The 12,266-nt window shown below is 39.4% G+C and overlaps 1 long non-coding RNA gene across 1 annotated transcript in view; it reads left to right on the top strand.

Moving 5' to 3' along the window:
* LOC105379127 (uncharacterized) overlaps positions 1 to 10,267 on the top strand; it is a 37,837-nt gene extending 27,570 nt beyond the window's left edge. The window contains exon 5 of the long non-coding RNA XR_948680.3: positions 10,016 to 10,267. This is a non-coding gene — a long non-coding RNA (uncharacterized LOC105379127). The remainder of the gene's footprint in view (positions 1 to 10,015) is intronic.
* The last annotated feature ends 1,999 nt before the right edge of the window (positions 10,268 to 12,266 follow it).

The following is a 12,266-nucleotide window of genomic DNA, read 5'->3' as shown; positions in this document are numbered from 1 at the left end:
TTAGGGACAAAAACTGCCTTTGGAAAACTAACAGATGAGCCACAGTGTAGAATTATGGCTCAGGAGTCATGCAGCCAAAGGCTACAAGATTCCTAACCTCCCCAGTAGGTCCTATAGATAACATCCCTATGGTAAAACCTAAGGTTGGTGATTGAGGTATTTTTCAGCCCCTGAATTCTGATAGACCAGCTAAACTCACCTAACTGGTTTTGTGATCCTACTCAGGAAATGAAGACAACAAAAAGACAGTTACAACCCCCTATGATTTCATCCCTGACCCAACCAATCAGTATTCCCCATTCCCTAGCCACACCCGTCCACCAAATTATCCTTAAAAAGCTCTAGTCTCTGAATATTCAGGAAGCTGATTTGAGTAATAATAAACTCCTGTCTTCACACTTGGCCAGTCCTGTGATTATTAAACTCTTTCTCTATTGCAAAAACCTGCTGTTCCCAGTGCCTTGGTTTTTCTGGGCAGTAGGCAAGATGAACCCATTGAGTGATGACAAGTCTTACTCATTTAAAATCAGGACTTGACAGCTCTGAAGGTTCTGCAATTAAATATATCAATACATACCTACAAATACATAGGTACACACATTATACAAATATGAATATTCTAGAATATACTCTGGCATATAATGATAATAACATTTCATATTATTATGCGCAATTTCTTTGGCAAAGCTAAAAATGTATCTTTCTTGTAATGGCAGTATACATTATAATACCTTAATGTGATTAATTGAATTTAGTCATTGGGAAGCTCAACTCAGATTATTTCTGTTGTTTTAAACTAGACTCCTTCAATGCTTGGAAATATATACATATGCAATACATACATACATAACAGTACTGTCAAAAAAAAGCAAAATTACAACAATACATAACAGTACTGTCAAAAAAAAACAAAATGACAACAAATTTAGTTAAAGATCTAATTGGTGCTTTTTTACAACTCATGAACCAGAGCAGCCTCCATTCTACACAACAGAATGAGAGCTATCTGTGAGCAAAAGCAGAGCGTAGGTTTTATAAAGTAGGAACAAGGAAACAGAACAATAGTCTGACTGGTTAACATCAGGTTAAAACAGGTTACTTTTTTGTGAGAGTTAAAGCAGAAAAGACTTCCTTATTGTGTTGACTCAGGTAGAATGGAATCTCCTGTTATGAAGGAAAAAAAATGAGTCTGTTTGGGGATCTATTTCCTTCCTTAAAGTTTCAGTTTGACTATGTGGCATTTAGCATGAATGACTCCACTTTGATTTGTCCGGTCTGTTGGGGCCTTAGTGCAGGAGCTCATTCCAAAACAATGGCCTCCCATAATTATATTTAACAGTACAAACATACTTAACAAAACTCAACTATGCAAAGTTGAAATGGGAGGATTCAGCTGGGATGCAGTGGTGGGATGGACACTAGCCTGGAAGCCTAGAAACCAAGGTCTGAATTCCAACCTGTCAAGCTATGGGTAAGATGCTTAATCCCTGTAAGCCTTTTTGGCAGAGTTGGTTTCCCCAGCCACATTGTCCTCCAGGTCCCAGCTTCTCCAGGTCCCAGGTAGCTGAACCACAGGGTGACAGGTCTGCCATAGACCCACTCACCAAAGCACTGCACAAGGGCCTCACTCTTGGTCTGCTTCAACACCAAAGAACTATGAACTGTTGCCACTGTCTTCCTGTCTCTTCTGGTACCCACATACAGGCTGCATCCTTATCCCTGAAGGCCTTCAAAGTACACAAAAATATAACATTTTGCCACTCAAATCCCCTGTCAAACATCCCACATTCTGCCTTCTTCAGGATAAATACTCTGAATTCCTTCAAACATTTCTCATATTTAGGGTGACTATACAGCCTTGTTGTCCTGGAATAGTCCTGGTTATCCTTGTTTTCCCAGTATAATAATTAGTAGCACCTTGTCACAGTGAAAAGTTCAAAAAGTTAAAATATGACATTCGTACACATGTAGACTGAATGCATGCCAAATATTTTATTCAACTTAATCTAATGGAGGAACAAATAAGAAAATAGAACTGGATTTTTATAGGTATTTTGAGAGAAAAGAATGCTAGACTAAGTTTGCTAGTTTAGATATAAACTGATTAATCCTCTAAGGGGAATGAACAATAATCTTTGGTGTTATCTTTTCTGCTAGATGGAAATCTATAAAATAGATTTCACAGTGTCTGAGTTCTAAACAAATAGTGAAGAGCAAAGTCAAACAAAGGCACATCCTTCTAGGAAATCAAATAATCTTTAGGCAGTCCTGATAAATAATGCCGCAATAGGATGAAAGACATATGACCATTCTCTTATTTTCAAGTTTTAGATAATTTTTCTAACAGTCCCCTTTTACTCTCAAATGTATCCTAGTTTGGACCACAAATTATATGGCCAGCAACCTTGTAGCATATAATTTACACATTCTTCACCTCTCTGGCCATAATGCTCTTCACATAATATGTTTATCCATGTTTATCTCTTAGGATGTGGCATCCAGAATTTTTAAAAGAATTCTCCATATGTGCCTGGAGCAGTGCAGGCTACAGGAGAGTTATGACCTCCTATAATTTTGACAATATGCTTGGGGTAGACAGAGGTCATATGACCCATAAAACCTACAATATCTCCTATCTAATGCTTTATAGAAACAGTTTGCTGACCCATGATTTAGGCCCCGGTTTCCATTCCTTCAAAGCCCGTATTGAAAGTCATCTCCTGGTACAATCTTCAAAATACCATTCCCTTGCTAAGCAGAGTTAATGGCTTTGTCCCCAGTACATCCACAGCTCTGTGAAATACATACAGACCCTCTACGAAAACACTTTGTATCATAGTTATTGATAGGAATCTCTCTCTCTTCCTAATGGAGACTACTTATCTCCAGGTGTAGGGCCATGTCACCTCTTAAATGCCCAAGACCTAGGTTACCTAGTACAGTGTCTGGATCTAGAACCAGTTAATATCATTTGGAACTTTGTTCCCTTCAAATCTCCTGTTGAAATATGATTCCCAAAGTTGTAGGTAGGGCGTGGTAGGAGGTAACCGGGTCATGGGGGTGGGTCCCTCATGAACAGTTTAGCACCATCCCCTTGGTGATAAGTGAGTTCTCGGTTAGTGAGTTCACGTGAGATCTTGTTGCTTAAAAAAGTTTAGGACCTCCCCTTCTCCCTCTCTTGCTCCTTATCTCACCATGTGACATGCCTGCTCCCCCTTCACCTTCCACCACAGTAAAAACTCCCTGAGGCCTCCCCAGAAGCCACTGTGCTTCCTGTACAGCCTGCAGGACCATAAGCCAATTAAACTTCTTTTCTTTATAAACAGCCTTACGTATTTGTTATAAAGATGCAAGAATATTCTAATACATCAATAGTCACAATTTCTTATTTATTTTTTATTACTGAACAACTGTTGTCCAGTGAGCATAGTTATAGTGAGCACTTATATTTGTTCTTTGATATAACTTTCACAGTAGCCCACATTAAAAGACTGAAGCCCAGCCAGGCGTGGTGGCTCACGTCTGTAATCCCAACACTTTGGGAGGCCAAGGCAGGCGGATCACCTGAGGTCAGGAGTTTGAGACCAGCCTGGTCAACATGGCGAAATCCCGTCTCTACTAAAAATAAAATATTAGCAGGGCGTGGTGGTGTGCACCAGTAATCCCAGCTACTTGGGAGGCTGAGGCAGGATAATCATTTGAACCTGGGAAGTGGAGGTTGCAGTGAGCCAAGATGGCACCACTGCACTCCAGCCTGGGCGACAAGAGTGAAACTCAATCTCAAAAAAAAAAAAAAAAAAAAGACTGAAGCCCTCAGAGGCTAAGAAGCTGGCCAGAATGACACAGTGAATAAGTGGTATACCAATGGTGGAACTCTGATTTCTTTGAATCCAGCTCCTGGGCTCCTGACTCCTAAGCTATAAAACAGTTCATTTAATAACCCTTCTGGTGAAGAACTCATTGGCACCTCTAAAATTTTGGAAGCTCACTCGAAAAGAAGATGTAGACTCTATGCCTATGTCATTCATCTGTTATTAAAATGAGAACCTAAAATTCCTTAGGACACTGCAATGTTTTGAAGGTGTTTTGCCAATGTAGGTGTTCACCATCAACTTTGCCCTGTTCAATAGCCAAGGAAGCATCCTTGCCCCCCACATATATGTAGCCACTAACCCCCACTGGGAGGGCAGGAACATGTAAGGAAAGCATGCCTAAGTGGGTCATTTCCACCAGTCTCAGAAAGGATCTGGAGTCACAGAAATAAGCTGAGTCAATACTCCTTTGGAAACAATATGTCAGACAATTTATCTGAAAGTTGGAAATAAGGCCAAAAAAAAAATGGTGCATGGCACATACTTTCAGAATCTTATGGAGCCAATCAGCACCCAAGAATTGTCTAGGGGAATGCACTGTTTACTGCTGATTAAAGGTCCTAGACTAGTCTAGGACCCTTTCCCTACCTTGTAGATTTCTGTTCAATGGAACAGATAACCCCAAAGATTTACAGCCTGCTGTACGTTAAACAGTTTTACAGCTAACTCAGCAATCTTATCATAATATGTTTTTATTAAATTGTTCATAAATGCCCGAGCTCCTTAAATGTTCTTTGAACCAATATTAACATCTAACTGGCTCCTTCATTAATTAATGAGTTAAATCAGTGATACATGTTCATTATATTTTTGCTTGGGAATCATGATTTTACCTCTTTGAAAATTATACTTCAAAAATATGTTAAAGACTTTACACTCACATTAAGAGATTCACGTGATATAACACAAGGCCTCAGGCCATCTTTTAAAAATCCATCTGTTATTGAAATTTCCCTTGTGAAAAAAAAAACTGTCTTTTTTTTAATGTGCTAAACTAAAGGATGCTTGACTGGCCTTAGACATGTTCTAAAAGGTACAGTTATGATTGATCTAAGATAATTCAACACTAGGAAATTACATTGGGAACATTTCTCAGGCTGATGGAAACTACATGTGGGCTGGATACAGCTAAATAAAAATAAGACTTCACAGTTGTTTATATCACACTCTGTTGTATTAAAGGTAAACTCACAGGCTGTATTTTCTCACTTTATTCCTTACTGACATGAAATATTTTGAACTAAATTTAGCAACAACGGCCTTTGAAAAAATAGTGTTACCTTCAGTAGTAACTGGAGAGTCTAGACATATAACTGCTACCAAAATTCTTATCCTCTAAAGAATGTTTTCCCAGGATGATTTCACAAGGTCTCCTCTGATTATATAAGATTATTCAGTAATTGACAGCTAGCCATCTTTTCCATCAAACCTGAGACTCATCTGGGCTAACCTGAAAGATGAGGAAAAGCCAAGGTCTACTGAAACAAGGGTATTTGGATTCAGGGCACTCAAGATGCAAATAATGTCACATTTCTCCATAGTAAATGTGCACATACAACTAAATAATTGAGTGTGTGTGTGTGTGTGTGTGTGTGTGTATCAGCTTTCAGTTTAACACATTAAAAAATAATTTTTTTCACAAGGGAAATTTAAATAACAGATGGATTTTTTAAAAGATTACCTGAGGTATTGTGTTTTATCCGTTGAATCTCTTAATGTGAATATAAAGTGTTTAACATATTTTTACAGTATAATTTTCAAAGTGGTAAAATCATGATTTCCAGGCAAATATAACAGCCAATTTTCAGCTCTTCCTCCATACACCTTATACCATGCAAAAACCCAGAGTTTTTATGGGCCCTGGGTCACAAGGAAGGGCCTGTTCCTCAGCTGTGTGCTCAGCATTGACCTGCTTCTGGCCCAAACCAAGTCCATTTAGGTAAAGGTAGTTCTTCCGACAATTCTGCTGCCCCCAGGCCAAGTTTGACCTTGGGGACCTTTGCCTCCACTCTAAAGGCCACAGCTCTCCGTGGGCTCGCCATGCAAGCACCATTTCCCCCCACCTCAGAGGCACTAAGCGCTCAAAGACTCCCAACCTCTCCCCATTCCAGCCGGGGAAGTACTCAAAATGCTCCTGGACGGATGCGTCTTCCTTCAATCCTGGAAGTACTAAGCCTCCAATCCCCTCCCGCTCCACCAAATCCATCTTTGTCTTCAAAGCAGACTAAAGCCTTCAAAAACAGATTCATGCTTAGACTGCCTTGCCTACTTTAGGGCCAGAGCTTTCTACTTTCACCCTAAAATGCACAGATTGTAAACTGCAATATGTGGGTGATTGAGAGGAAGGGTAGGACAGAAATGAGGAACTCAGAGCACAAGGAGAGACTAGCCTAGCCGGGGATGGGGAGGTGGGCCAAGGGTGACATATAAGAAACAGACTGGTAGATCTTTCATTGTTCTATAGTGCAAGCCAACTCTCAAGAAAATAAGTTGTTTCCCAACAGATTTTTTTAAAATCCAGGCTCCTCCAAATAATAGCCATATGACCCCAGGCAAGCTATTTAACCTCAGTTTCCTTATCTAAAAATGGGGTTAATTATGGTACCTATGTTATATGGCTGGTTAAGAATTAAATGAGTTAATAAGTGAAACGTGATTAGAACACTTCCTGGAACATAATTATGCCATAAATCCTAGGTATTAGTCTTATTATTATTATTATTATTGTGCCACAATATATTCTCAATAAATTGCATCATTATACTCAATGTATCCCATTAGAATGGAATCACAAGGGTTACTGAAGCTGAGACACATTGAGACAAAGTCTCTAATCCCTGGGAAGAACTGCAAATATCCTGCCAGGGAAAGTGTATCATGGTATTGTGTCTAAAAATGAATGTTGTCTCAGAGCCTCATTCAGAAGGGTAGCTATAGCTAGGGACTCATTCACTCAATAATGTGAGGAGCACACAGGTCTAGAAATTCTCTTATCCTGCTGTTCTTCTCTCTGAGCCCAGAACATGTCACATGCCTAAGCAGGAAGCTTGTCTCCTTCTAGGAAATTCACAACACAAACTTGATTTATACGTGCATACATGGGAAGAATTTAAGCCCTGCTGGGGACCATAGGAATGTGAGTGATTCAAATGGATTATGTACAGGGTAATGAAGGTAGAAATTTTCTATGAATCCAAAACATTCATATTTATGTATCCAAATCAAACTGGTTATCTGTATTTATTTATTCATTCACAGATATTTATTGATGGCAGGCACCCTGCTAGTGCTTATGATATAGTGCTGAAAAAGACACAGCCCCTTTCCTCACAGAGCTTCAGTCTAACGGGGCACACTGAACAAATGCTGGATGCTGTGGGGGCACATATGTGACTTCATCTGGTGGCTTAAAAAGGATTCCCCAGAGAAAGTGAATTCTAAGACTAGAAAGGAAAGGCATTTTATGATGGGTAGATGGAACTATTCAAAAGCACTTGGCTGAAAAACAACATGAGAACTCAGCGACCTGAAAACTCTAATACAGCTGGAACACAGAAAGCAACGGAGTAAGTAACAAGAAAGGCCAGAGACATGGGCAGGGAACCAGGTTTGTAGGACCTACAGACTATGATAAGGAGTTTGGATCTTACCCTGACGAAATGAGATATGATTGTGTTTTCATTTTAAACTGATTATTCTGGCCACAGTGAGGACAACTGATTTTAGAGTGGCAAAATTGGATACAGGGAATTCAACAGAAAGCTATTGCAGAAGCAGATGACCAATAATGTTGACTGAAATTAGAATGGTGACAGTGAGAAAGGAAAGTAGATGTGGATTCCAGGGCTATTTAAGAGGTGGTGATAATGATCGGTCACGGAGATTAAGGAAGAGGTATAAGCAAAGACCACTCCTAGGTCTCTGGCATGAATTGCTGAGTGGGTGGTGCAAATCATTTACTGCTAGAAAGAACACTGGAGGAGAAGCAATCTTGAGCTGATGATCATGAGCTCATTTGGGGAATAGGAACTTTGAATTGAGCATAATATATCAAAGTGGAAATCTCAATTAGGCAAATTGATGGTCAGAAGAAAAAAAAAAGCCCTGGACAATAAATATTTTGAAAGTTGTCTATATACAAATAGCCATTGGGCCCAGCGCGGTGGCTCACGCTTGTAACCCTAGCACTTTGGGAGGCCAAGGCGGGTGGATTGCCTGAGCTCAGGAGTTGGTAACCAGCCTGGGCAACATGGTGAAACCCTGTCTCTACTAAAATACAAAAGAAATTAGTGGGGCGTGGCAGCAGGTGCCTGTAGTCCCAGCTACTTGGGAGGCTGAGGCAGAAGAATTGCTTGAACCCGGGAGGTGGAGCTTGCAGTGAGCCGAGATCGCGCCACTGGACTCCAGCCTGGGCGACAGAGCGAGACTCATCCCTACGAAAAAAAAAATCCATTGAAAACAGAAACCGGTGATATCCACTGGGAAGAAAATACAGAGTAAGAGAAGCGGGGCAAGACACAACGTTGAATGAATAGACAGAAAGGATCAAGAAAAGAAAACTGAGGAGCTGGCTACTTAATAAAATCAGAGAAGCCAGGGAGTCAGGAGCAGAGCCTGCAGTTCTCACCAGGCCTGTCTGTGTTACTGAATCAGAAACCAAAAAGAATCTTCCTCTAGGAAGATCCTAGAATTTGTAGGTAGGAGTAATAGATGACTCAATAAAACCTAGGGAGTAAAAGAAACATATAATTTAAAAAATGAGGTCCTATGTGAAGACTGTGTTTATTCTGTATCTAAACAAAGCCTGAAAATTCAACATTAAACAGCCAATCATCACCCAGATTGAATTCTATGCAGATGTAATTTGGCCTTACAGATAAAAACTGAAAAGCTAGAGCTTTTGAGTGGGTTTTAAATCAAACCTCCTAGGTGATGGATGAGTGTATGGCATTGGTTTGGTGGGGGTTTCATGGATGTATACTTTTACCCAAACACAGAAAGTTTAAAGAGCATGCTTCCCAGTAGACGTTGTGTCTCATCTTTGTATTCACTGCGTCTTACACTGAGCCTGCCCGTCACATAGCGGGTGTTGAATAATTACTCTTGTGTTTCAGTATCAAACTGTGTATGTGTAAGGCTCTGCATTCCTCTCTGCAACAGTATTACTATGGCTGTGAAGTGAGTTTATGTGTGAGGTTGTGTGGGTAAGACTCATAAAGAAATACAGAACAAATAAATAAACAAAAAAATAAATAAAACCTCTGATTTGCAAAGACAGTTACCTCTCTGTGTTTTGGTATCTTGGACCTCCACAAATTGTTACGGGCATTTAAACCAATTATTTTCTTCCTAAGATTCATTTTCGTGAGTTTTTTATTGGCTTGTTGGTATAATACTACATCTCTAAACATTTAATGCTTTAGAAATTGGTCAGAAGTTCATGCGAACTATTTGCTTTATCTGTTAAGCAGGACTTTACTCCCAGATGAAATACAAATTCTAAAGCTAACTCATTAGTCATTAAGAGAAAAAAACCATCAAAATTTTTCTTCTATCAAAATGAATAAGCTACTTTTCTTAATATTTGAATTATAAAACAGCCTCCTATTTTTTCCATTATTAAGTCATTAGTTTTGTTGGCATTTCACATTACATCATCCCACTCAATGCACTCTTCTTGGATTTCTTTCCATTGTATCATGCCAAAAGAACTAAAAATTAGAAAACGGGAAGCTTCTTATTTCATTTTTAACGTCATTTGTTATTAAGATCAAATAAAATTTCATGTAGTGGCTAAAGCCAGACTCTTCCAAATGCTCTTTCAACTACTCTCCTCCAAATGCTTATAGTGAATACATCTAAGTCATACAAAAAGTTGTAACATTTTAAAAAACATATTCTATACAATATGAGGTGTCTAATTAAACAACTATAAGGAATCTAAAATTACTAAAAGCAGATGCCAGTCAAAATCTACAACCATGTTCCCCATTTTCTCATGATCCTCTTTTTAAAAGCAATTATTTAACAATGCAGTATTGAAATACTAAAATTTTAAACTGAGAATATGACTTTTAGAAGATTTATTTACTCAACTCTTAAGAAGGAAAGCTAAGGTTTCTTAATGGCTTGTTTCTTTTCAGTTGTATAAAGACCAAATGATATCTTCTTCCAAAAAGAATGAGAAGCTGATAGCTACTAATGGAACAGAAGACTCAAGAAGAAAGTTGGAAGTGGAAGACACTAATTAAAGGAGGATCCAGTTTCACTTGCACTTAGATGTAGAAAGCCACAAAATAATGTGGCTTTCACATAAACAGGAACAAAGCTGGACAATCAATAAAATCATGATTTGCCTTGAGCTCAGCAGCGAGCTAAGGTAGCAAGGCAAACAAGTGCACTAAATTTCAGATGACAGGCCACTCTGAGAAGAGATCAGGTGCATGAATGGCTTTACCTTTGGCAAGGCACAGCATGAAAACGCAACCACCTTATGGGAGGGTAAAAAGAAAACATCAAATTTTAACAAATCCTTAAAGGCCACGGGTGGGTGAAAGCAATGGTTTAGACTCCTGGTTCATCCCAACACTAGAAAGTCAGCACTGCCTCACACGCTCTTTGTACCCCACTCTCAGTAGTCCACAGACACACAAAGCCCCATCTGCTCACATTTCTTGAAGAGAGACCATTCTTGAAATGGGAACCAAGGGCTTTGGGTCCCTGGGTGAGGGACCAAAATAAGTCCTCTTGCCTCCAGAGCTCAGGCAAGAATTCCTTGCCTCTGGTCATAGATAGAATCCAGTATCACTGGGAGGGTGTGGAGAACCCTTCCTTCCTCCCTCATTCCCAGGCAAAGATAAACTCTGAAGAGATTTCTCAAAAACCTCCGTATTTCCACGATAAACCTTGCACAGAGTAACAAGTGTTAGCAACCTACCACTGGGGTTGGGGTGGGGATAAACAGGGCAATTCACATGTCCGTGATCTCCAGTAAAAGCACAATGCTACTGAGGGAAGAGTAGAGCAATAGCTAGCTGACACTAGGGAAGGGACAGGAAACCCCCTGGGGTCCAGCCTTCTGTACTGACAGAAAACAGAGGTTAGCTACCACTGGAGGAGGAGGATGAAACTCTCTCCTGCCCCAAGTGCTTCATAGATAGTAGGGTTTGGCTACCACATGGGCACAGGAATGTTGAAAAAAAAAAAAAACACTTCTGAGACCCAGGTACCCAGGATCTAGCCAAGTGAGGCTGGACCAAGACAACTAAGAGTCCCCATCCACTCCCATCTTTAGCCTTCCACCAAATAACCAACAATAGCAGTATACAGTATAAGAAAGATAAGAGCATAGCGAGACCCTTTAGTGGTTCAAGCAGTCAGGGCTTCTTAAATCTGAGAAAACATGGAGAAAAATACTCTAGCACCTTAGGATTTACAATCAGTACATTGTAGCAGTAGTCTACCATTAGAGGGGTTTTGATATGGTTTGGCCGTGTCTCCACCGAAATCTCATCTTGAATTGTAGCTCCCATAATTCCCACGTGTTATGGGAGTGACCCAGTGAGAGATAATTGAGTCATGGGGGCAGTTTCTGCCACACTGTTCTCATGATAGTGAATAAGTCTCACAAGATCTGATGGTTTTATAAGGGGAAACCTCTTTCACTTGGTTCTCATTCTGTCTTGTCTGCTGCTGTGTAAGAGGTACCTTTCACCTTCTGCCATGATTGTGAGACCTCCTCAGCCACGTGGAACTGTGAGTCCATTAAACCTCTTTTTCTTTATAAATTACCCAGTTTCCGGTATGTCTTCATCACCAGCATGAAAACAGACTAATACAGATTTAAAGACTGTTATACATTAATGGTAGTTATAGCAACAAGACCAAAAATCATCTTAAATAAAAACCAGATTGGCTCAATGCCCCCACACTAAAAAAACAAAGAAGAAGAGACATTATAGTTGGGGATTTCAGTAGTCCTCTAAAAGTGGGTATAAATCTTACTGACCTCAGGCTTTACTGTTTTATACAAAATGTGCAGCAATCAATCAAAAATTATTAGACATACAACAACAAGAATGTATATTCTAATCTTGTTGGGTAGAGTATTCTATATGTGTCAACACGTCAAGTTGTTTGACAGTGGTTTTCTTATCTTCCAAATTCTTACTGATTTTCTGTCTAGTAGTTCTATTAATTACGTTTAGAGGACTACTGAAATCTCCAACTATAATTGCTAAATCATCTATTCTTTCAATTCTCTCATTGCTTCATGTATTTTGATACTATGTTGTTAGACGTATAATCACTTATAAATTTATATCTTCCTGATGTTTTGACCCTTTACTATTAGAAAATATTTCTCATTGTCTCTAGTAATATTGTTTGTCATAA

The sequence above is a fragment of the Homo sapiens genome, chromosome 5, assembly GCF_000001405.40.
Source record: "Homo sapiens chromosome 5, GRCh38.p14 Primary Assembly".
NCBI classification, from domain to species: domain Eukaryota; kingdom Metazoa; phylum Chordata; class Mammalia; order Primates; family Hominidae; genus Homo; species Homo sapiens.
This window is presented reverse-complemented; position numbering and strand designations above follow the sequence as displayed.